At 45.5% G+C, this 26,402-nt stretch overlaps 1 protein-coding gene across 1 annotated transcript in view, besides 1 other annotated feature; it reads right to left on the bottom strand.

The window, feature by feature from the left end:
* Positions 1–26,402, bottom strand: part of EPHB1 (EPH receptor B1) — a 465,208-nt gene that overhangs the window by 283,034 nt on the left and 155,772 nt on the right. Inside the window, exon 3 of the mRNA NM_004441.5 lies at positions 25,382–26,063. Coding sequence (NP_004432.1) covers positions 25,382–26,063 — 682 coding nt within the window. The remainder of the gene's footprint in view (positions 1–25,381; positions 26,064–26,402) is intronic.
* Positions 20,454–20,703: an enhancer, noted in NCBI's record as "active region_20576". NCBI's record gives its function as "activates an Ori minimal core promoter by ATAC-STARR-seq in GM12878 lymphoblastoid cells {active_cell/tissue: GM12878}" and the evidence as "EXISTENCE:reporter gene assay evidence [ECO:0000049][PMID:35858748]".

Here is a 26,402-nt window from a genome sequence, read left to right as displayed (position 1 = left end):
GTAAATGAAGGAACAGGTATTTGCGGGGGAGTCTGCCACGGCATGGGCTCTAGAGTGAGAATTAAAGGAATGCAGGATGCAGGAGTCCATTCTTCGTGAAGATGGATTTTCTGCAGGTCCATCCACCCCTCCCAGAGCACACCTTGCTGAAAGGCCACAGGCCTGGAGCTAGAGATTTTCCAAGGCATTCTCCTTCACATCCCAGGCCACTCGCAACAGTGGCGGTGCCTTGAGGAGTGTGAAGCACAAGCTGAAAGTCTGCACAAGTGCCTCCTCTAGTGTACATTGTGGGTGGTTTGGAGGCTTCAAGCACCTCTACTCCACCATTCTGCTAAGCTGTGAAGGTGAAAATGCAGATGGAGAAGCTACAAAGACATTCCTCCTGTGTGAAAACATCCTCAAGGAAATTTCAGAATTGTTCCTCAGCTTTATTGAAGTAAAATTGTCAAATAAAAATTGTCAGAGTTGTAATGTTGATGAACTGGGTTTCAAATAGAAATGAATGCCCTCTAGCACCTACATTTCCAAGGAGAAGGCAGAGCCCCAGAGTTCAAGGCCACAAAGTCTCCACCTACTGGGAGGCTGGGTGCAAGAGATTTATCTGAGCTGCTGTTTCTATTAGGATGGTTGTTTTTCTTAGGGCTTTTGATACAAACTCCTGCAGGTGTTGAAGGACAAGCCCTAACCTTTTTTTTTAACCCCATAAGCACTGCTATTTGGAGTGCAGTTTTGCATATAAGGTTGTTTATGGAAGAATATGTGGCATCACAGAAGAAATGTTTGGGCCATGATGGGTGTTACAGATGCATAGAGGAGGAGATGGGGTGACGTCTGGAGAAAGTGAACCCTAAGCTGAGATGCAACACCAGAGAAGCTCGCTAGATAAAAAGGAGAGCAAGAATGTTTCAAACCAAACAAGACAAACTGTCCTGCGACAAAATTAGATTTATCTTTGATGATATTAGAAAGTTAGCAAGCAGGCCAAAGGTTTCCTGTCATCTCAGTGTGGTTTGATCACCTTTCAACTTCCTGGTGAATTGACCCTGCCCAGTGCTGCCTTTATTGAGTCAGGTGAGGAGCTGTTCTCCTGCATTTGCCAGGGGGCTGCCAGGCTGCAGTGCAAAGGAGCTGTTGCATTCATCCCATCCTGTCCTTGGCGCCTCCTCTCTGCTCTTGCCCTGGAATCTCTCAGATGACATCTGTGCCTGCTCCTCCCTAGCTGCTCCCATAGATCTCTGAATTCATGTAGGGGAACGGCAGTCCCAGTTAATGGCTGCAGAACCTGGCAAGAGCAGGGGTGTGTGTGTGGATCTGACCTGGTGACAACTAACTAACCCGTACAGAGGGCCTGAAATACCCCATCCAGGACCCAGGCCAAGGCAGACTCCCTCCAGGTGCCTGTTCCATTCTGCATTCTGTTAATCCACCCACTTCTGGTTATGGGTGTCAGGACCTTCAGCCACATATCATCTTATTTCTCTGTCTTTATTTCCCTTTCATCCTATATCCTCATCTAGTGGCTTGATTCTGTTTGTTTGTTTTTATATGTCTGGCCTCATCTCCAGAAGATTTAATGTGGCCAATATGTGTGCACATGTATGCATCTGCACATGCCCTTTAGGAGGCAAGATGTTGTCTTTCTCACTCCCCCCCTGCCCTCTTAAATCTTTCTATTATTCTATCCTTACGAATAGTTTAAAAAAAAAACACTGTTCTTCACTAACTTTAACCTATGCCTATAATGACTCCTTATCCATAAAGTGAGATGTAAATAATGTGACCTGCCTCCTGAAGTTATTGGTAAGATTAAATGAGATCATGTAAGCAAAGCCCTCAGTACAGGACCAGGCAGTACATTGGTGCTGGGTGTTGGGTCAGTATGTGTTGCATGAGGGGCTAGGGGAGACAGTCCTGGGAGGCTGTCTCTGATGCCAGAGTAGCAGAGTGTCAGGAGCTGTGGCCCCCCACAGCAAATTCCCACCACTATTCTTCCCCCTAAGCCTACCCTTCACTCTCTTACAGCCTATAGTATTTCTGTTTTGACTTTGCTCACTCTCTGTACATGCTCTTTAGCCTTACCCAGAAATCCACCCCAGTTCTGCATCCCCTGCCCTGCCCAAGGCTCTCTGCCACCAAACTCAGGCCTGCAAAAGGGATGGCAACCCTGATCCCAGCTCATTAGATATGGCATCTCAGGTCCCTGAGCTCTCTGAGTCCCCATAAAAGTTTCCAACATCGACTCCCTAACTCAATAGAACAAAGTCAACAGCTTTGGAAACAGCCTTCTTCCTACATTTAAAAATAAGATCATGAAAAGTCTCCCAGAAAAATCAATGCCGGCTTTTTGAAACTCCAAATCAATATGATGTGTGAAAGTTCTCATTAAGAGAGAGGTGGGGGAGGTCAGAGAAGCAAGGAGAATCAAAAGGGAAGAGATGGAGAGAGGGGAGGAAAAAAGAGACACAGAGAGGATGGGCAGTGGCAGGGAGGGGAGAGGAGAGCAGAGAAGGAAGAAGGGCAGGGAGGTGCAAGGCACAGGAGCAGCTCAAGCAGGAAGGGTGTGCTGAGAGCCCCTCCCGTGCTGGAAACAGGAAAATGCTGCCACGGATCAGAGATGAAGTCATGGGACTGCGGACTGCTTTGGGGAGCTCACAGTCTGACTCAAGGACTTGGGAAACAAAAGGGCAAAGAGGAAAGAAACAGGCAATATGCTGAGGCAGGTGCCAACAAGAGGCCATTAGGATGTCAGCTGGCACTGGAGCAGGAAATCAAAAACTCTTCACACAAGAGGTAGAGTTTAGGCAAGGCTTGAAGAAGGGTTGATGAGATTCACAATTTAAACTGTTGGCGTTGAAGAGGTGGGGCAGGGGTGGGGACACAGCACGCTATGCATGCAAGGTGGAAAATAATAACAGCTAATACATACTGAATGTTCTCTGAGGGCCAGCAGTGTTTTAGGCACTTTACAAGCATTAATTCACTCAATTCCCATAACACCCTAGGAAATAGATTACTATCAATCCCATTTTACAACGAGGAAAGCAACGCACAGAAAGGTAAAGTAACTTACCCCAAGGTCATACAGCTAGTAAGTGGTAGCACCAGAGTTCCAACCCAGGCAGTCTGGCTCCAGAGTCTACACTCTTAAACAAACTGGGTTTGGGGCCCGTGTGTGTATGTGTGTGTGTTTGTGCGCATGTGTGTGTATGTATGTGTGCGCACGCGTGCATCCTTGAATGCTTACCTGTGACTGAGTCTTGGATTTAGGAAGATGTATCTGGGGAGAGGAGATGAACTAGGGTGTGGTCAGAGACCACTGTGACTGGATAAAGGATAAAGGCAGAGAAATGGGATATTCCTCCAGCCCATATGCAGCTCTATATCACTTCACAGCACTCTCTGAAGACTTGCCTTCCAGCCAAATCACCAACTTCCTGCTGGCCTTTGGGTCCTCTCTCCTGCAGACATGCTCCTCTTGTTTTTCCAGGTCAGACAAAACCTCTCAGCATTTCCCTAAAGGAATAAGGTATACTCTCCAGGCCAAGCCTTGAATCCTGCAGCTGCAGAGATTTTCTCTAGGATTGAGTATTCCGGAAATGCTTTCTCCCAAGGCTTTTTGACAAGCCCTACCCTATCCCACTCCTACCAACCCTTGGCATTTTAATTCTGCTCAGATAATTTATTTTTTAAGACTAGAAGACAAGCCAGATGCAGTGGCTCACGCCTGTAATCCTAGCACTTTGGGAGGCCAAGGCAAGTGGATTACCTGAGGTCAGGAGTTCGAGACTAGCCTGGCCAACATGGTGAAACCCTGTCTCTACCAAAAATACAAAAATTAGCTGGGCATGGTGGTGCATGCCTGTAATCCCGGCTACTCAGGAGGCTGAGGAAGGAGAATCGCTTGAACCCAGGAGGTGGAGGTTGCAGTGAGCCAAGATCATGCCACTGCACTCCAGCCTGAGCAACGGGAGTGAGACTCTATCTCAAAAAAAAAAAAAAAAAAAAAAAGACTAGAAGACAGACAAGGAGTGCTTCTGCTCGGTTCCTCTCCCACTGCCAGACCTACCATTGGTTAAAGAAGCAGGGGCATCTCTTCCAGGCTGAGCCAGAAACTTGCTGTGGACCTTGTTGGTCAACCCTGCCCTTCACTATCAGGTTCTCACTGTCCCCATCCCTGAAGAAGGCAAGGGAGCCAGTGAACACAGCCAGAGAAAGCAATCCTGTTGTTGTGTGTCTGCCCTTGGAAAGGGCTGCACACCTGAGACTACAGGGTGTGCCACAGCTGGAGCTCCTGCAGGAGGACACATTCCCCACACCCAAGAAAGGTAAGTAACTGTGCCAGATTTATCTATGATCTGAATCAGACTCCAATGCCTTATTGCTGGAACACCTATCCAGGCTGTGGAGGGAGCAAGAAGGGAAGCCAGACCAACCCCCCTGGGCCAGAGATGGGCAGCTGAGGCCCAACCTGGGATGTGCAGGAACACAAGGGACATAACTCTGTCAGAGCTGCCCACCCACCCAGACTCTAGGTCCAAATAGGGTTGTCACAGCAAGGCAGGACGGCCATTTGGCCTGCTCCCATTCAAGAAAGGCCTCAAATTCACACTGAGTGAAATACACTCACAGGACTGAAATGAGAAGTCCATCCACAACTTCAAATTGTGTCCCATTGTCCAACCAGCCTGCCTCTTGGTCCCTGTGCATGTATACATTTTATAAATCTGTCAAGTCTCTTCTTGTAGCATAACACACAGTATTGCAATTTTTGTGTTAAAAGTACTTGTTTGTTGAATGCAAATATTACGGCAATTTTTGTAACCCTGTTTTGACATTACCTCTTTAATATACATTATATATATTTAATATATAATATATTTATAATATATAATAATATATATTTATAATAAATATATAATAATATATATTTATAATAAATATATAATGTATAGTATATATTTAATATATATTAGATATTTATAATACATATAATATATATTACCTCTTTTATATGTTATATAAAAGATATATAATATACTTATATATTTATATATAAATATTTTATATATAAACACGTATGATATAGATATTTATATATATACACACACACTCTTAGAGAAAGACCTCAAGATCCAGATGCTCTCTGTACAGTTAAGAAGCCCCACATGCAGCATTGACTCATAGCAAGGATGCTCTGAAGGAGAAGGAAAAGAAGGGGAAGGAAGGGAAAAGGACAGGTGAGGAGAGGCTGCCTCTTCTCTTAGAGGAGCCCTGGGAGGCAGGTGTGGCCATGAGGACTGGCCCACACAGGGGAGAGGCAATTCTCAGACATGCTACTTTCTGTTTCTGATCTGTGATGAGGACCTTCACTTAAGGAAGACATCTCAGCCAGCTCTGCTTGGGCTTCTTTTCTGTGAATTATTATAAGTGTTAATGGGAGTCTTCATTAAAATACCATTTAAGAAATATTACAAGTTAAGTTCCTCTCACCCTCACAGGTCTGATGACTAAAAATCAGCAGCTCCTCCCATTGAACTGAAACAAATTTATCAAAAAAGAATTTTAGCCCACTTGGTCAATCCAGTGCTGGAAATGAGATGGAAATAGAAGACAACATGAGTTTGCTTTTCTGAGAACAAACAGTATGTGACCCAATTTCAAACAGGCCAGGAGCCTTAGCTGTTCAGAGATAATCAAAGAGCAGGGCTGTTTGACAGGATCTGCTGCATCTGCAGGGCATCATGCTGGGGTGGGAGATGGGATGGTACCTAAAGGGACTAGTGTCCCTGCATTGAGGAAGGAGAAGGACCAGCAACCTCTGCAGATGCTTCACACCAGCCCTCACCAGCCAGGGCCTGCCTCTCATCCTATTCCCATCAGTGCTCCCTGCACTACAAATAAACATTCACATTAAGAACAGTGTGCTTGCTGTGCAAATGCAGCCCAGCTGCCCTCGCTCCATCCACCCATCCATCCAGACTGTTGTCCCTAAGCTCCTCCTATAAATTCCAGAGCAGAACCCAGGGAGACTGAATGTCACGCATCGACTCTACCTGCTACTGGAAAGACCAAGGGCAGAATGATGCCACTGGTGAGGAAAGTAAGTTGGAACTCAGGGTAGGGTCAGAATGAAGAGGAGGAGCTCCATTTGCAGAGAACAAGAATCCACTAAACCCACTCCCAGTTTATTTAATCTGCTTTATTTTCTTCTGGTCTCTCTGTATCTTTGTGCTGCTTGCATCTCAGATTCCCTGGGCCCCACACTTGATAAGTTAAGCCTCATTGTTGGAGTTGAAGCACTGTTAGTCAGTTGAAAGCTTCCATTCTAGCCGACTTTGCCTCCTAAACAGCTTTCCCCTCCATCCTGCCCACCACCTCATCTATGAGTCACTTCTAACACCCAGGATTGAGGGCTGATTAGAATTTAAGATTATTTTCCCAGGGCATTAGAGCACTTCCTTTCTTTCAAGAGGTATCGGGGTGAGAAAAGGATAAAGCTTATATTTCAAGGAACAAATAATTTAAGACTGATGGGGAAAATGGTTTAATTGCTTATGTTCTTATTAGCCTCATTCAATATGGTAGGCGGGTGAGTGAGAGAAGAGCTTCGGAGCATTAACTGTGACAAACCTGTTTTGCCTGATGAACGTGTGAGACAGAGTCCAGCTCGCATCTGATAGCTGCTGCTGGCCTTGGAGCCCCAGCAACTGTCCCTGCACTGTGGACCTCTGCAGCCGTGTGGCCTAGGGGACTCCAGCCTCTTCATTCTTCAAATACGTGCTAATCACTCAGGATACATCAGTTAACAAGCAGATCCTTTCCCTACATACACACACACATACACACTCAAATACCGCTGTCCTCATATAGCCTACATACTAGTGAGGAGAGACAGACAATACACATCATAAATCAGTAAAGCTCACACTATAATAAGTGCCATGAAGTAAGACAAAGCCATGGAGGGAGATGGGAGGCTGTTGAAGGTGATTCACACTGGGAGCAGTGGACAGGGTAGGGTTCCTGAGAACATAATATTCAAGTAAAGGCTTGGAAAAAGTGAAAGAGCCACTCATACAGCTCTCTCCATGTTGAAATAATTGGACATCACAGGCAAAATGATGATAAAATGAGCTGCATGCCTTAAACAAAAATTAACTCAAATTGATTATAGACCTAAGTGTAAAACATAAAACTTTAGAAGACAGCAGAGAAGAAAATCTTTGTGCCAAGGTTAGGCAAAGAATTATTGAACTTGACCTGGCTGAAGTGAAAAATAATTGGTTAGATAAACTTGAACATATGGATTAACTGGACTTCATCAAACTTTAAAATGTTTGCTTTGTGAAAGACATTATTAAGAGAATAAAGAGATCAGTTACAGACTGAAAGAAAATATTTGCAAATCACATATTCGACAAAAGGACTTATATCCAAAATATATAAGGAACTCTCAAAACTTTCAAGTTTTGATTTTTAAAATCAAAATCATGCCCTTTCTTTCTAGAGAGGTCCTTGGACAGGGCCAAGATAGACTGCACTGAGGGTTCAGGGAAACATACCTGTGTGTTAGAGACAGGTCCACTGAGTGTGGACTCCTGAAAAGTCCACTTTAAGACCTCATCTCAGAATGAGCAGATTTTTTCCAGCAGACTCCAGTGGGATATTCTTCTCATGTGCATCCAACACCTTAAAACGTCACCAATTAAAGAGGATAAAAATTTGATTTCAAGTCTGATTTTTAGTCATCAGACCTGTGAGGGTGAGAGGAACTTAACTTGTAATATTTCTTAAATGATGCTTTGATGAAGACTCCCATTAACACTTATAATAATTCACAGAAAAGAAGCCCAAGCAGAGCTGGCTGAGATGTCTTCCTTAAATGAAGGCCTTCATCACAGATCAGAAACAGAAACTAGCGTGTCTAAGAATTGGCTCTCCCCTGTGTGGACCAGTCCTCATGGCCACACCTGCCTCCCAGGGCTCCTCTAAGAGAAGAGGCAGCCTCTCCTCACCTGTCCTTTTCCCTTCCTTCCCCTTCTTTTCCTTTCTTTCAAGAAAGACAACAAACAACCTAATTGAAACTTGGGCAAAAACCTAGAAGAGACACTTCACAAAAGAGGATAAACATAAACAGATGGCAAACAAGCACATGAAAGATCATCAACATCATGATTTACTAGAGAAATGCAAATTAATATCACCATGAGATACCATGACACACATAGTAGAATGGCTAAGATAAAAAATACTGATAATACCAAGTGCTGCCAAAAAGGCAGAACAACTGAAACTCACACTGATGCTGATGGTAATGGAAAATGGTACAGGCACCCTGAAAACTGATCTAGCAGTTAAACATACAATTTCCATATGACTCAATAAGAGCTTGCCTGGGTATTTGCCCTAGAGAAATGAAAATGTATGTCCTCTATTTATAATCAAAAATTGGAAACAATCCACACTCTCCTCAACAAGCGAATGGATACACAAATTATGGTACATCCATACAATGAAATACTACTCAGCAATTAAAAGCAACAAACTATTACTACATGATACAATTGAGATGAATCTCGCAGGCATTATGCTGAGTGAAAGAAGCCAGTCTCAAAAGGTTGCCATAATACATCATTTCATTTAAAAAGACAACAGGATCATGATGAAAAACAAATCACTGGTTGCCCTGGGGGTGGGGGATGGAGAAACAGGAGACTATAGAGGGGTAGCAGAAAGGAGCTCTTGGTACCCCAATTATGATAGTGGTTACACAAATCTATGCATGTATCAAAATTCATAAAACTGTCCACTTAAATAAGTTAAGAAGTCAAATTTTCTGTATTATAATTTTTAAAAATAGAATTAAGAAGTCACAAAAATTAAAAAATGTTAACTAACAAAAACCAATTTAATCTTGCAGTAATAAACTGGACAAACCCATAGCTATTTATGACTAGATGGATGGTTTCCACTATCTTCAGGGAATTTACTTTAAAATATTTTATATACGTATGAACCAGATCATGTTGTCTAAGCCTTCTTGATATTTACTGGATCTCTTTAAATTTTCTACATTCTTCCCACAATTCATATATGGTTCACCCAAAGATAGAAAATTACCTCCTGGCTTGTTTAATAATAAAAATGTTGACATCAACATCCATTTTTAAACCTTTGCAAGGTGTCAAGACTTTTGCTCAGCTCTACACATGCAGATTCTCATAAACTCTTCACAGCAAACATGAGCTCAGTGCTGTTATGTCATCATTTAACATACTGAGGCCCAGACAAGTCACTCCATTAATAAACACAGAGCCAGGATTCAACAACTCAAGCTGCCAGCTCTTAAAACTATACTTCTATGGCTGTTTTCTCTACAGCTTTTTCCACCCTGGCTAGTTGCATGGCAAATGGACTCATGTCCTTGTTTTCTAGAGAGGTCCTTGGACAGGGCCAAGATAGACTGCACTGAGGGTTCAGGGAAACACACCTGTGTGTTAGAGACAGGTCCACTGAGTGTGGACTCCTGAAAAGTCCACTTTGAGACCTCATCTTAGAATGAGCAGATGTTTTCCAACAGACTCCAGTGGGATATTCTTCTCATGTGCATCCATCACCTTAAAAAGTCACCAGTGAAAGAGGATAAATCAATTATCATCCTTTTGTCTTAGTCCATTTTCTGTTGTTATAACTAAAAACCTGAGACTAGGTAATTAATAAAGAAAAAGCAATTTATTTCTTACAGTTCTGAAGGCTGGGAGTTCCAAGGTCAAGGTGCTACATCTGGTGAGGGCCTTCTTGCTGGTGGGGACTCTGCAGAGCCCTGAAGTGGTGCAGGGCATCACATGGTGAGGGACTCAAGAGAGATGGCCAAATGGTAACAATACAACCATTGTAATATAACTATTATAAGATCCACTCTAGTAACAGCTAACCCACTCCCTTGATAACTCATTAATCCATGAATGGATTAATTCATTCATGAGTGCAGAGCTCTCATGATCCAATCACCTAGCAAAGGTCCTATCTCTCAACACTGCTGCATTGAGGACCAAGTTTCAAACCCATGAACTTTTGGGGGACACATTCAGACCATAGCATGTGTCTTCCCAGGTTCTATTTCCTTTTCCTTTCTTCCTCCCTGACTAGTTAGTACCAATGTGTGTTGTGATGAGGCTTCCACCACTCCATTTTCATTTTTTTACACTCCATGAAATCAGAAAATGACCCAAGTTTTTCAATGTGCATAGCACTTACTTAAAAGTCTTTATATATCTGGGCCATCAGTCCATTCATCTCATGCCTGAAGAAAATGCATCTCTAGAGGAGTCTTTTCACCATGTGTCCCTCCCTCTGCCTCACAGCTCTCCAAAGTTGGTCTTTCTGGGACCTCCCAGCCTTTAGAGTGAGGCTGGTTGAATAAAGGACAAGGCAGCTCTATTCTAAGCCATGGCACAGCTGCCATGCAGGTGCCCCCATCCCTGGTTGCTGTGGTGGCCAGAACCTTCTTGAGCATGAGTGGGTTTTCAGAACTCAGGGCCAGAGCGGGGCCCTGTTCTAACACTGACTGCCATTCCCCTGGCCATGCACTGGGCAAGCACTTCAGCACCGTACATCAGGGTTGCTCTGGGCAAACAGAATGGCAGGAATGCAGATGGGAAAAGAAATCACTAGGTGAACCAAGAATAGGATAGAGTGATGGGGGCAAAATCCTGAAAGAAAGTCTTGACTTGTCGGGACATATTTTCCAAGCTGGGGCTTCCTGGTGACTTAGCTGCTCCTGCATGGGCAAGCTCCCTGCCTGGGGAAGCCAGCCCTGCCTGGGAAGAGAAGCCACCAATTGCTCACTCTCTATCAGCCAGAACAAAAATTATCAATAAAAGGATACACTTAAATGTCCCTAAATAGAGACTATTGTTTACTGGGCTATTGAGTGAGTAAAAAAGACAAGAAGAGCCAGGGTAGGTGGAGGCTTGCAGAGGGAGTTCACAAGAAACTCTCTGTCATTTCTTGTTTCCTCCCCTTTTATGATAGGAGGTTAAGACAAAGCCCTCTTTGCCATTCTGAAGAAGCTTTGTTGCTTATTTTGTCATAATATCCTTCCCAAGCCCCTTCAAGGCCCCCTCCTTGTCCCTTTCCTCACTGGCTCTTAAAAGCCAGCTGATTTGCACGGGGGCTGGCCTCTCTGTTGTGTCTCTCTTCCAGGCTCACTCTCATTCTCTTGCTCTAATTAGCAACTGCTTTTAAAAAATTTTTGTATTCTCATTCAAAGACAGAGAGAAGGAGGAGAGTGAAAGGGAGAAAGCAAAGGTCTGTGTGAAAGGAGCGAGCAGATGGCCTCTCCCTTGCCCCTCTGTGTACCCAGTGCAGTGTTGGCAAACAGCACACAGCTTCTGTCTACAGAGCTCTTTGTGGCCTGAAAGGAAGGGCCAGTGCACAGCTACAGGCAGGGAAGGCAGGAGATGGGAAAAGATCTGAAGAGGCCTGGCCACTGGGGAAGCAGATCAGAGAGTCAAGGCCACCAACCCCTGGGATGCGCAGATGCAGGCACTTCTGCCTCCCAAAGAAGTGGTTGTGTGGATGTCCAAGTCAGTGTGATTTGTGCACTGAGGCTATGAGCTCTCTGAGTAGTCAATCGGTAGCCTCCAGGGCTGCAGAAGGTCCTCAAGGTGGAGGTGGGGGCGGGAGGGCTGCTGCACTGCTTAGACATGGTTAACTCGAATTTAGGCTCTCTCTACAAGCGGGCAGAAGGGTAGTCGACCCTTTGATGTGGGTCAGAGAGAAAATGACTGAAAAAATCAATCTCCACAGATAAAACACTCTCCAAAATAATTGTTTTTATTAGAGGAAATTCTCTTTCTTTTTAGAGACAGGGTCTCACTCTGTCACCCAGGCGGGAGGAGTACAGTGGCACTATCATAGCTCACTTCAGCCTCGAACTCCGGGGCTGAAGCAGTCCTCCTACCATGGCCTCTCAAAGTGCTGGGACTACAGGCATGAGCCACCTCGCCTGGCCCTAGAGGAAACTCTTAGAGAAGTGGGCAGGGTAGGTAGGCAGAGATAGGCAGGGTAGGTAGAGCAGGGGAAGGAACATGTCATCCTGCAAGGTGGAAGCAGTCACTCTCATCAGGTATGTAAAATTCAACAATGAACAGCTTTGGCTACTGGTTCTTAATGAGTATCTGGAATGAAAGATTCAAAATATGTTAGAAGAAAAGGGAGGCTTGAAATAATTCTCATAAGCCAAGAGTAATCAAGAATGGGGCTGAAGAAGGTGAAGGAAGCAAAGAATGCTCCAGAAAAATAATGAGACTGAAGAAGGAAGGCATCCTACAAAGACAGTTTAAAATTTTTAAAAGCTACTGTTCTTTTTAATTAATGATCTTTTATCAAAATGTGTGATTATTAATCATTTTGATGACAAAATCACTTGTAATATTTGCTATTGATTCAATGATAATCATTGATTTCCTGTATTTTACTATTAAAAGAGTTCATTTTTAAAATTGCAATTCGCATCAAGACAGACTCCTAGAGACAAAATAAAAACAATGAATGGAAATAGCCATTCACTCATTAAAATTCTATCAATGAAATGTATGTTTCTTTTCCCTCTTTTCGAAACAAGTCTAGAGAGAAGACAGACAAGAGAACGGAATAAATGGAGGAAAAGAAGAGAAAATAGAGTAGACAAATTTGACCAAAGATGCAGAGGGAAAAGACAAACAGAGCCAGTGAGAAAAGCAAAGCAAAGCCTGAAGTCACAAGGGCCTCCACATTCAGATCCATGTGGGCATGTGTGTGACAGACCCAGAAACCAAATGGAAGCCCTGAAATCGCCTAATTCCCAGAACAGGCACATTTTTGCCAAGTTCATGATTTGGCAGAGTTCTTGCATATTCCATACAATTTCAATGAGAAGCTCTATCCATCTTGTGCAAAGAGCAGATTGTCATTTCCCACTTGAAATACACACGTTGCACTGACCTTATGTCCTCTGTCAAACTGAGACATTATCACCAACTTTTAGTGAGTTTCATAACGTATGGGCTTGCGACCATTCTGTTGTTTTTGTTCTGTATGTTTGTGCACAATGTGTCACTATATTGGACAACAGACAGACAAGGCCTCTGCCATCACTGGTTACTGCCTCCATCTGGTTCTGCCATCATCACTTCCACAAGTGCATGCCTTGTGCCCGATTCCTCCCCAGTTTCTTCGGAGGTCCCTCTACTCAATGCTGCTGGGATATTTTCTTATACATCCTAATGCAAAGACTCTCCCTTCTCAGCTCATATTCTCCTTCCACAAATTTTGTTTTCAGTGTGTTTTGTTCTGTTTTCATTTAACAGATGGCACAGAGCAAGTAGGGATTCAGAGATGCATCAGGCATGGCCACTGCCCCTGAGGAGCTTAGGGAGTAGAGGAACGGGAATGTGAGCTGGGCATGATGATGCAGGTGACAGGTGCAGTGACAGTGACTTCAGTTCACTCTCACTGGTGAATATGATCACTCCATGAATTTCCTGGTTCATCCCTTACCAATGGGAAATGAACACTATCCGTGAAGTCCCCAAATGTAGATCAAATTCTGATGACTTTTCTTTGTGCATGTTAGTGAAGGCTTACATCTTAGTCCAAACGGAATGCTGATGCCAACTCCCATCAAAAATTACAAATCTTGGCTCTTCTTTAGCTTGGGAGGCATAGAGAATAGTGGTTACCAGCAGAACCTCCAAGTCCTGTGTTGTATGATCTTGAGAAAATTACTTACCTTCTCGGTGCCTCGGTATCTTCAATGGAAAAATGAGGCTAATAATCACATGTACCTCATAAAGCTCTGTGAGGATTTAAGAGTTAATGCAGAAAAAGAATTTGGCAGAGCATCTAGCACACCGTCACTGCTTTATAAATGACAGCCACACTGTATTAGCATTTCGACACAAGATGGAAGCCAATCCAGAAGTGTGCTCCATACCCAGGTTATAACCATCATACAACCATCAGTGGCAGTGGAATGTGGGGCTACACTGAAGAGTGCATAAGCTGCTCTCCTAGCCCAGGTAAACAGAGCATCAGCATTCTTTTCAAATATCAGCTGTTTGCCTATTATCTTTATTCCTTTTTGCCATACTTATATGTGGCAGGTTTTAAATGTATTATTATTATTCATTATTTTTCTTTAAATTAACTCACTTTTTAACATGAATATTTTCACTTTAAAACAAAAGTACAGAAGAAGAAGGAAGAAGGAAGGAAGGAAGGAAGGAAGGAAGGAAGGAAGGAAGGAAGGAAGGAGCAAGAGAAGGTATAAGAAGGGAGAGGAGGGGAAGGGAGGGGAAAGGGAAACTGAGGTAAGTAAGAGAAGTAGGGAGTGCATGGCCCCAGATAGAAAGAGCTGCCACAGAGCAGGGGGACAAAAACCAAACAGACATATGCATAGCTGCAGCAAGCAACAGCCCAGAGCTGAGCCAACACCCCTGGCAGAGACAAGACCTGGGCTTCAGCAGAGTGGAAGGTGTATGCTCCAGTAGAGGGTAGACACCTGGTCAGGGAAGGGGATGAGACTGATTTGGGGCTGCTGGGGAAGGGGTGGCAGGTCTGGTGAAGGCTGAAGAAATGAAGAGGGGGCAGGAGGAGGGGAGGGCAGAGGGCTGGCGATCTAGGAAGGCGGGGCTATGGAGGTGTCAACATGGTGAGCTGAGGCTAGAGGCCCCAGAGGTAAGCTGGGAAAATTAAAGGAAAGGATGTGGGGTGAAGGGCCAAAGGGTGAGAGCTGAGAGATGCATGCGGCAGGGCAGGAAGCCCTGACACAGGCCCAGGGGCAGAAGGAGACAGATGGGAGAAGCAAAGTGTGTTTCTTAGCAAACCAGGCAGATTCGGCCTTCCTGAGACTGGACTGTGAGAATGGGGTGGTCTTCCAGCGTCAAGCACCTGCACTTGTCCTGTCCCATCTACAGACATTTCACCTACCACAGCTTGGGAAGTGCCAAAATCGGTGGGAGGCACGTGTCAAAATGTCCTGATACTAGAGATGGGCAAAGAGTACATACAGAGGATGATGCAGGGTTGGAGGGAATGGGACAGAAGAGAGTGAAGGACAGACCATACCCGAACCACCTGCAGCACACAAACACACCCAACTTAATGCATTCTACTGGAATGCTTGAGTCTCAGTTCCTGAACAGGGCAGTTTATGGAACTTTGCAAAGTCAAATGCAAATGGTAACAACAATGGGATGCCATTTTTCACCTCTCAGATCGGCAAAGATAAAAATGATTGATATTTTATTATCTTGGCAAAGGTATAGGGAACAGGAACTCTCAAACACTGCTGGTGGGAACAAAAATTGGTAGAAAATGCCTTTTTGGGGAGGACAATTTGGGAATATCTACCAAAATTAAAAATTTATATATTCTTATTCAGCAATTTTACTTCTGAGAATTTACTGCATTCTTAGTGCTTAGAAAAGTGCTTGGCATATAGAAAATCCTCAATAAGTATTCATTGAATAAATAAATTAATTTTTCTCACAGATATACTCACATATAGGTGCAAAGACTGATGCACAAGGATATCTGTTGCAACATTGTTCAGAAACAGCAAAAGAGAGAAAACAATCTAAATGTATATAAATGACCAATTAAGTAAAATATATCCATGCAATGAAATAATAACACTCATTGGAAAGAATGAGGCAGATCTATATGTAATATAACCAAACTACTGTTAAACTTCAGTGTTAACTGAGAAGAGATGTGGGGAAACTAGGTGCAAAGTCCTCTGTAGTGTGCCCCTATGCAAGGGGGAAGAGTGTACAAATCCATCGACTCTCTGCAAGAGAATATTAGAAACTGACAATGAGAGAGACTGATGACAACCAGAGTGGAGGGAAACTGACCTTTCACATATATTACCTGTTCAAAATGTTTTTAGTAACAACAAAAAAAGGTAAATTGCATGAGTGGAGATTTGTATAAAAGTTCCACCCCAAGGAAGAAAGGTTCAGAAATTAACCAGGCTTCCTTCGGAAGTAACGGTGTTCCATCCCTGGAAGTGTCTAAAATTAGGCTGAGGACCACTGTGGAAGAGCAAAGTGGGGTCATGGGGTGTGCTTGACTCGCTGTCCTTCGAGGCTTTATCTAGCCGGATGTGGCCATGCTCCATCAGGTTCTCCAGAGCAACAGCACCACTTGCAGCCACAGCATCCTCTGGACATTGTGAACACTTTCTAAGAGCTAAGAATGCAGCATATTCCTGGAAGAAAAATGCTGAATCTCATATATAAGCATACAGGGCCCAGTACCAGTTGGTGCCCAATAAGTAGCTGAAGAAAGAAAAGACATGGGACCATCCAACCCGCATGACCTAAAGAGTGGAATCCAATTTGAATGAGGAAGGAGAAGGCCATAACTGCTGAGGCCTGCAAAGAAATGATCAGAGTGGGCCTCCAAGGACCATACCCTAAGACCCAGTGACTCCAGCTCTGACCAGGAATGTGTGGTGTGCTGATGTAGAGACCCTGAAGCTGAGTAGTCTACTCCAGACAGAGGCCAGGGAAAAGCCAGAAACCAAAATGCCTATTTCATTCTGCAGCCTTTCTAATGAACTAGGTCCTATCCTCAATGAAAAGATTCATCAGGGCTGGGTTTGGCCTTGCTGGCCCAAATTTATGCCCAGTGATTTCAAGAGGCTTCCTGAGGCTCTCAACAACGCCTCCTTCTCACCAGCCTCTCCAGGGGCCTATTGTAGCTAAGCTCATTTCTTCCTGACCTCCCTGGTCATACATACACAAGAGGATGAGTCGAACACACTTGCAGCTTCACAGACTCATCCTGCAGCAGGCTAGGTGGGTACAAAGGAAGATGAGATACTCTCTGTCTTATGGATAGCTTCTGGGACCCAAAACATACCCAGCCATACTCTTCTGGACTAAACCACATCTCCCCAGACTTTGCCTTCTCAGTATTATTAACAGGCCCTTGAAACAAAAATGGGGGCTCAACTGCCTTGCCAGGTAACTAGCACTCAAGCTCTTTGTTTAGCCTGAACATTTACAGCCTGTAGGGAAAGGCAAGGTTGCACCTCTCTCAACATGCCTGTCAAAGACCTGTTGGCAAAATAAGGCTTGTTCCTGGGTGGTTTGCCAGTGTTTGAGGTGCATTCCTTCTCCATTTGCAACAGCCCTCAAGTTACTCTTTCCAGTCTTCTTCACCCTACTGCACTGAGGGAGACCTGAGACCCAGGTCTTAAGGCCCTATCAATTCAACTCATCAATGGCCCAAAGCAGTGGAAACAGAACTCAGATCTCTCAGGGCTCCTAAGGGCCCAGAACCAAAAGACTCCACTGCAGGCAGGCTTGGATTCAGTATAATTTTTCATCTCCATCTTTCAAACTGAAAAGTGGTGAGTCTCCGTCCATGCAAAAAAAAAAAAAAAAAAAAAAAAAAAAAAAAAAAAAAAAAAGGTGCAGATGTTTGTGCTCAAATTCTGCAGGAAGGGACTGTCCAGCCACAGCAAGAGATGGGGACCAAAAGCAAAGGATAAGTCTGACAACAGCCCTGACTGAGCTGGGATACAGCCCTCACAGGCCCATGCAGGGTCCTTGATACAAATAAGAGAAACACAATCCCCCAGTCCACAGCTCCCTTCCTTCCCTCTGCCCTTTCCTGTAAGCACAAAGCCTCAGAGCCTTTTCTTCCCTGGTGAGCCTCAGATTGCCCTCTGAGGGGCTGTGTATTATCTGCTGGTTCATAAGCAGCTTAACATGTCAGAGCTCTCTGGAGAGATGGAGCTGCCCCTAGAGGGATTAAAAAGGAGGTGGTGATAGTGGACATGGAGTCCTGTGCAGAGGGACAGTGCAGAAATGTGTAACCACAGAGCCACCAGAACCCCAAGAAGAAATAAGGTATAAAAACACAAGAGAGAGGGTCATTTGTGAGAGACAGTTGACAGAAGTTCGATATTCCTGAAAACACATGGTGTGCTTTAAAGGATGGTTATTTTTAGCAAAAGCCAGTCTCAGAAGTGGAGGCAGATAGTGGCCTCCCTAGACCTGAGTTCTAATCCCAGTGCTAACATTAACTAGCCATGGCTCTCTAGACTGGTGCCCAGAAATGCTCCTGGCGGACCCCTCTCTGGATAAATGAGGCAGTCTCTCAGCATCTCCATACCACTCACTCCAGCAGTTTCAGACCCCAGAGGTCTTCATGGGAAGACGTTGGTGAAGAAAACGATGGCATTAGGGCCCCTATTGGACTCCTGACGTGGTGATGTTCCCACTACCCACCCCACCTCAGTAATAACCATATGATGTCTCTGTCATCATCTTTGATAATACATATATATTAAGTCATGGATGACCAAGTTCAAACAAAATCCACCTAGGGCAGCTCTCATGCATGGGACGCTGCCAAATCATGATCAGTAGCTCTAACATTGGCCTGGAAGACTCAGGATTATTTGCTCAACACTAGTGGAATTTGGGTGCTTCTAGCCCTGTGTCTCAAAGGCAGAAAGGATCATTATGCAGAGCACAAGGGGGTTTGGAACCCAGAACTCCCGCTTGCCATCCTCTGCCGCCTCCAGAGCCCAGCATCCTGGAGTCCATGCTGCAGAGGGGCATCCTTCCAGCTCCCTGTGCTGTTGCTCATGCCGGTGTCACAGTCAATTACAGACAGCCAATTACATCTGATTCCTCTCTGGGGGTCGCTGGGTAGGGCCGCCATGGGGAGCAGAGGAGGCCCGAGAGGTTTCTAAATGAAGTAGCCTGTTGGGAAATCCTATTATGAAGCTCATGTTACAGGGCTGCGGTGTTAATGACCCTGGCCTCCCCTGGCCCTGAACACAGCCGGTCTCCCTGGAGCTTGAGAGGAGGCTATCTGGGCTGTGGTTTCCCTCTCACCAGCCAATAGCTGATGGGACTGAGAGAGCAGAGAGGGCTCCTTGGTGCCCTTGAATGTGGCTTCCAGCACTGAGGCCTCACACACACACACACACACACACACACACACACACACTCCCTTGTGTTCCTCACCTTCTCTTTCAGCAGCTCAGGATGAGGAGGCAGGGGGAACCCAGAGCTGGGACCAGCAACCCTAAGGGAGATGGAAGCAGGCCCCGAAAACCTCTTTTTCCAAGAAGAGCTAAATTAGATGTATTTTTTCCACTTTCAAATCCTGCAAATTTTTCATCTCAACTCCCCCAGGCTTATAAAGTGGCTCATCTCAGCTGCTCAAGCTGACAAAGGTGCAGAAACTGTTGAAAGGTTCAAAATGTCCCCTGGGTTTCCAGGCATGAAGGAATTTACATGTAGGTTTTCTTTACTAAAGAAAAAAGTCCCCACTTGGAGAGGGCGGAGGAATGAAGAAGCAGCCAGGAAGGAGAGGACAGCAAGCGTCTGACAAGAGGAGAGCCTAAGGCAGTGCTGGTGGGATCACCAGCCATAACTTGCAGAGAGACACCAAATGGGAAGACAGGCACATCGAGAGCTGTTCTGTTCTTCTGTTAGAGTTGTAAAGGCCCTGCCAATGTCCAGAGTTAGAATGGTCATAGGTGATCTGAGAGCCTTCTGGAAAACCTACACAGATTCCCAGTTAAAGTCATGCATCCTCATTCCCAGCCCCAATTTGTAGGCCTGAGCAGAAAATAGGAGTCCTGCAGGTTTGATCATGCTGCTGGGACCAGTAGTGGTACCCCTGGCATTCTTAAGACAGTACCTAGGGACCCAGCTGGTGCTGGCTAGCTGCAGGGATGTTTGTTTCTATAACACCCAGACAGTCAGTCTTCAGCTTCTGCCCCTCTTTTCCCTGCCAAGAGCCCTTTTCGGGCTTTATCAGCTGTGCCATCATGTTGATACTCTGGGTTGTTCAGGGCTGCCCTGTATGGCTTTCCCCAGCCTCCAGTCTTTATTCAAGGGGTAGTGATGCTCGGATACCTTCCTCCTGGTGGCCTGTAGGCTTTGTTCTTGGTCTACCCAGTTGCCAGCCTGCTCCTGCAGTCCCCTCTCCCAGACTCCTTCTTCATCCCCTCAGGCACCCAGGTTCATCCTGTCTACAAATCCCAGTAACCCTATAATATCTTCAGTGACCTACCCTGGGGTCCCTTTCTTCTGGACACCAGTCACATACATGGTCCTGGTCTGCTGCTTAGAGCTGGGGTTCTTGGATTTTTTAAAATCCCCATGTTTGGGCCATATACGAGACTTATCACCATCTCAGAAGGAGGCAACTGGGGATGTCACTTTGTAAAACCTTTCTGAGGGCTCTCATGCCTTCCCTGGGGTCAAAAATTGCTGGTTCTGAAGACCATGGCTCTCTTGGGCTTGGAGAGTCTTCTCTCTCCACTTGGTCCTTCATTTCACAAAGACCACCTGCCTAGACCACCTGGCTTAAGGCAGGCCATGTGAGCCATAACATTCAAACATGTGTTAACTTGCCCTTTGATCAGTTGAGGAACAGTGGCTTATTCCTCTCTGCTGTTTTCACTTGTCACTGCTTGGTGGTCATGGAGCTGGGCCTGGGCAGATGCAGGAAGGTGATGACTGGGAATTCAGGATTCCTGCTGACCTGTGTCTCTGGATGAGGGAGTCCCATGCCATCTTCATTCCAGAATCTTATTTTCTTAATAAGGGTGATTCAGAGCTTAAGGACAATGACACCTAGCAATATGTAGCATGGCATGGCTTAGAAAATATTCTCATATCCATTTTCACACACTTTGAGAAGTAGGCAGAGAAGATATGACTGTCAATGAAAAGGGACTTACCTAAAACCACGTAGCAAGTTTGCAGCAGAGCCAAGACTAAAACCAGCCCCTATCTTTAGGTTAGGTCTCTTGCACCCAAGCATACCCCCTTCCTCTTTCATCCACCTGCACCTCCTGTGCATGACAGCCCCAGACAATGAAGGCCTAGGCACCATAAGTTGGCACGTGCCCTCTGTAATAGCAAGCTAAGGTCATCCTGGGGCAGGGGCAGAGGCAAGAGAGGATGGCAGGGAGAATTATGCATAGCATTGTCATTTTCTGAGTCCCCAGTGTAGCTAAAGAGGCAGCCTAATGAAGCAGCTTCTTCTGGAAACTCCAAGGACTATGTCCTGGGAGGGAAAGCCAAGCCCTCAGGCAGCACTCAGGGGAAGAACAGATCCACATATGCATAGTGCTCCAGCTAGGATCTGGCCACTCAGGGGTTGTCACAGAAGATATGACAGTCATATCTTCTCTGCCTATTTCTGAGACACCCCCATGGTCACCCTTATGGGATACTGCAGCCCTCGAGCTTCTAGCACATAGATAAGGAGCCTGCCCCTGCCAGGTTCCTTCTAACAGCCCCAGCCTCCTCCCCTTCCTCCCTGCAGTCCAACTTCAGCTAAAGCAATATTTTAGGCTACACAGTAGAGAGAGAGAGAGAGTCTGCTGAGAGCCAACTCGGCCTCCCTGGCACAGGAAGAGCCAGGCTGCATGGGACCTACACAGAGAATAGACTTAGCCACCAACCTCAGCAGGGAAGAGGGGAGAAGGGAAGACAAAGCTATGATTTCTCATTAATCCTCTACACTATGAGCATAACTTGAAATTGGGGTAGATGGGGCATTTTCCTAGTAATTAACAATTTTATAAAGACAAATGCATGATGAGGTCAGAGTCACTAGTGAGATGAGGTCAGCAGGCCAATGTGACTCTGCCTGATGGGACCAGCCTGTGTGTAAAGAAAGGATGTCCCAAGTCTTTGCTATTGTGAATAGTGCCGCAATAAACATACGTGTGCATGTGTCTTTATAGCAGCATGATTTATAGTCCTTTGGGTATATACCCAGTAATGGGATGGCTGGGTCAAATGGTATTTCTAGTTCTAGATCCCTGAGGAATCGCCACACTGACTTCCACAATGGTTGAACTAGTTTACAGTCCCACCAAATGTCCAACAATGATAGACTGGATTAAGAAAATGTGGCACATATACACCATGGAATACTATGCAGCCATAAAAAATGATGAGTTCATGTCCTTTGTAGGGACATGGATGAAATTGGAAACCATCATTCTCAGTAAACTATCGCAAGAACAAAAAACCAAACACCGCATATTCTCACTCATAGGTGGGAATTGAACAATGAGATCACATGGACACAGGAAGGGGAATATCACACTCTGGGGACTGTGGTGGGGTTGGGGGAGGGGGGAGGGATAGCATTGGGAGATATACCTAATGCTAGATGACACGTTAGTGGGTGCAGCGCACCAGCATGGCACATGTATACATATGTAACTAACCTGCACAATGTGCACATGTACCCTAAAACTTAGAGTATAATTAAAAAAAAAAAAATTAAAAAAAAAAAAAAAAAAAAAAAAAAAAAAAAGAAAGGATGTCAGGAACAGGCCTTAGGCCAAGGAGCCCTCTAGAAAATGCATGAGCCGCTTGCCACACATCCTAATGCGCAAGTTCTCCCCATAGCTTCCTCTACTCCCCTCTCACCTGTTCTCTTCTCACCACCCACGCTCTTCACAACAGAAACAGCTCTAGGCCAGGACCACTCTTTGCTGGCTGTGCTGTCTAATTGGTCTCCAGGTGCCTCTGCACAGCCAAGCGACTGGTCACCACGACTTTGACAGGAGACGGTTTCACAGAAGCAAAGTGAAAGCCAAGAAAATACAGTTCCCTGGCCATAATGAAAGTCTGTTCTGTTTCCATGCAGGAAAAATAGCATGGAACCAGAAGCGGAGAGATTATTCTTTCTGCCACCCTACAAAGTCCCAGTTTCACATATGCAGAAAAGATATATCAAATCAGCACAACTTTATGAATCATAGAGCCATCAGCATTTGACCCAGCCAGGCTCAGAGGACATCAATTCTCAGGGCTGTGTTGGGAGAGAGTTCGTTGTTGAAGGCTCACTGTGTCTCACCTGCAATTCTCTGTTATCCACCATTCTCCCTGCTTCTGCCCTCATGATGATTGTGCTAAGTGGGCTACACCAAAACCATTGTGAATGGCCACCATGTCCATCTGGCAGCACTCCGTGAGCACCAAAAATGAGTGGAAAGCCTATCCCTGAAGACACACCATGGAGACCAGTAACAAGTACTTCCAAATGCACTTCCCACCCCCCACCAAAGAGTGCAGAGTCTTCCCAAGATCACCACTTTTGCTCGAAGGTCCCCTTGCCAGCCATCAGAGTCCAGTTACCTGCAGAGTTAAGGGCAAAGATTTCAGGGGATTCAGCTGAAAGTTCTTGAGACAAGGGCAAGGGGCCCTTCTCTTCCCTTTCAGGGCACAGAGTTCAGCCAGGATGCTGGGCCACAAGACCCAAGATGCCACTCTCCACGCTCAGAAATATTACCAAAATGTGGCTTCCCATGCCTCTGAAGAGGCAAAGTGATGGTGCCATGGGTTCCCCATTTCCTTTACCCTCCAATGAGTTTGCAATAAGTAGTTTGTAAAGTCAAGCCATGTTCACAATAGCTCAAGATTAGAAATGTCCAACAAAACTCAGGAGGGGATCGAGACTGGGAAGGAGAAATGGAAAGAAACAATTTGGATTTACATATTTGTCCTCACAGGCCCTCTCAGGACAGCCACAGGAGGTAACTGACAAGCTACACGGACAGCAGAACCCTCTAAAAAAGAAAAGTTCCAATTAGCCCAAAGAAATGAAAGCCTGTTCCCAGAGACCCAATTAAATCAGAACCAATCAATGCTTGCTCTGGTTCCTGCCATTCTGCTCAGGATATAATGAGAAAAATGAGAGTGCCCCAGCCAGCAAGTGTGGTGTGGCAGCCCTCTGAAAACCAAAGAAATCACCCACCATGCGCTGCTGCAAGCATGCCGGGAAGCTGCTGCACCTGTGCCTTTAAGAACTCAGCCTGGTGCCTTGGTCCCCACTTAGACCCTGCCAAATGGCAAAGATAGTGACCCATCCCAACCAATGGGACAAAGAGGAGGACTGTGGGACCAGGCTGGGATGGTTTTAAAACTGTTGACGTTGATGCATCAGTGGATCTAAGATCTGGCACTCTCTCTCCTTTGTTTCCACACAATCCGTCATGGGTACCAGGACCAAGAAATCCAATAAAGACACAAAGGCGCAGCTCCCTGTTCTCAGCAGGCCTCAGGAAGGCTGAGTGAGTGCTCTGGCCCAGGCAATTAGCTGAGTCCAAAGGATTGCAGAGCTGATGGCACTAACAAGCCTGCTTGGCACTTCAGCTGCAGGTGTCTGGGGAGCAAGGTAAGTGGGGAAGTAAACTGGCATAGGCTGGTCTGGTGCTCAGGCAGGGTGGGGGTGACATCAGAGAGGGAAGCTGGCAGGAGGCTCACAATGGAGAATAAGTTGCTGATACAGCCCCCAAGACCCAAAGGACTAAGGGTAACCCTAGGGGTACATTAAGGTTAAGGTGGTCATTTCTGAGGTCCATATAGGAAGGCTTCCTTGTAAAAGAATCAGGACCTTTGAAGGCTCCAAGCAAAATTTAATAAGGGAAAGCAGTCTTCTCTTCCCCAACCCTGGATTCCCCCACGTTCAGCTTCCATGCACTTAGACAATGCATAAGCTGAGGGGCCTCCAGATCCTTCTATTCACTCCCAGAGCAGACTGAGCCTGCAGCCAGTTCAGCACATTTATTGCCACATGTTGAATATGGGCTTTCTAGGGCTAGTGCTAGTGATGGCTAATATGAGCACACAGTATCCTGACATTTTCAAACTGCAAAGTTTGCACTACTCTGTGTCATTTAGAAGCAAAAGTTAATACAACACATGATACAGTCCCACTCCCATTCCAATAGTTTCATCTCCTTCCAGGGCCTGGCAATGAGCCCCTAGAGAAAGACAGCCAAGCCAGAGGGCTTTGAGTTAATGAGCTACACGGGTTCAGTACCAAGTTGAGTGCTGTGGGAGCTGGACTGAAATGAACTAAAATATTTTCCAAATTCAGTCCCTTCTCAATTACCCTTCAGTGAATTGTCCATGGCAACCCAAATTCCAAAGTCTCCAGCCCCAGAGCTTAGGGCTGGATGCAGGATATAGGGGTGTGTGTGTGTGTGAGTGTGTGTGTGTGTGTGTGAGAGAGAGAGAGAGAGAGAAGAGAGAGAGATAAATTCAACACTTCAACACTAAATATTATGGACTGGTTATTAAGTTATTTTCCACTGTTTGAAACTCTCCCCATCTCTTTCTCTCACCATGAATAATAAATATGGACAACCTGGTTGGACATGATTGGAAAATCATCAGGCCTAGCACTAGGAATGGGAGTCCTCAGAGCTTTATAATAAGCCATTAGACTATTTTCTGTTCCTGTATGACCCAGAATTATTGGTGGGGAAACCTTGCAGATCTGGCCCTGCCATAGATGGGCAGGAAGCAGAGGCTCCAAAGCTTACCCTTGCATGCCACGCTGTTCTCAGGCTCATAGCCAGGCTTGCAGGTGCATCGCCCAATAGGCACCATCCATTCCCCATCCCCGTTGCAGTAGAGTTTGATGGGCACGTCCACTTCCTCTGCGTTGGGGATGCATGTGCCCCGAGCAATCACCAGAGATGTGCTCTCTGCCCCTGTCATAGTCTCTGGAAACACTGCAAAATTTTGCACAATGCTGGGACACTTTTTGAAGAAGACACGGACAGAAAGAAGAGACATACAGGCTCCATAATCCTGAAAAGCGAGGTAAAAACCATTCCGAGTAAGAGGCCCAAAGCTCCTGACTTCTGTGTTTACCTTCATCAGCCTTCCCCCAAAGTCCACCTGGGAGAAGCTCTCATCTGCAGCAATGGTGTCTACTTTGAGGTAGGGGGCCTCAGACCAGAAGGCTGACTTCTTGGTGGCAATGACAGAGTCAGTCTCATAGTAATACAAGTTGAAGGTCTCCTTGCAGGATCCTGGGACATTAGGGAGGCTGCTGCAGTCTCTCACAGTGAAGCGCATCTCTGTGTAGATGCGATGGGCCCCCCGCCGGTTGATGAAGGTGGTGAGCAGCCAATTGTTCTGGTTGGGCTCGAAGACATTGCACACCTGGTAGGTGCGGATGGTGTTCAGGTTTTCATCGTAGCCACTGACTTCTTCCCACTGTACATAGCAGGCCACAGGCACACACATGCAAAAACACAAAATAGAGAGTGAGAATACAAAAATAGGCATAGCAGAGGAGAATCCTGGGGCTAAGGGGCCTTAAGAGCTCACCAGTCCAGCAGATTGACTTGAGAAATGAACACATCTAAGCGCAACTTGATTTTAAAGATCTTATAAGAAAACTTCAGATTTTTTTGCAGCCCATCCCAAAATATAACACACTTCATTCAAGAAAGCTGTCCCTCGCCTAACCCATAATGCTCATTCTGTGACTAGCTTATTACATCCATGGGGACAACATGCAGCTTTCAGCCCATGTGATGGCAGGGACTTTCT

The sequence above is a fragment of the Homo sapiens genome, chromosome 3, assembly GCF_000001405.40.
Source record: "Homo sapiens chromosome 3, GRCh38.p14 Primary Assembly".
Classification (NCBI taxonomy): domain Eukaryota; kingdom Metazoa; phylum Chordata; class Mammalia; order Primates; family Hominidae; genus Homo; species Homo sapiens.
The sequence above is the reverse complement of the archived record's forward strand: the minus strand, read 5'-3'. Positions and strand labels throughout refer to the sequence as shown.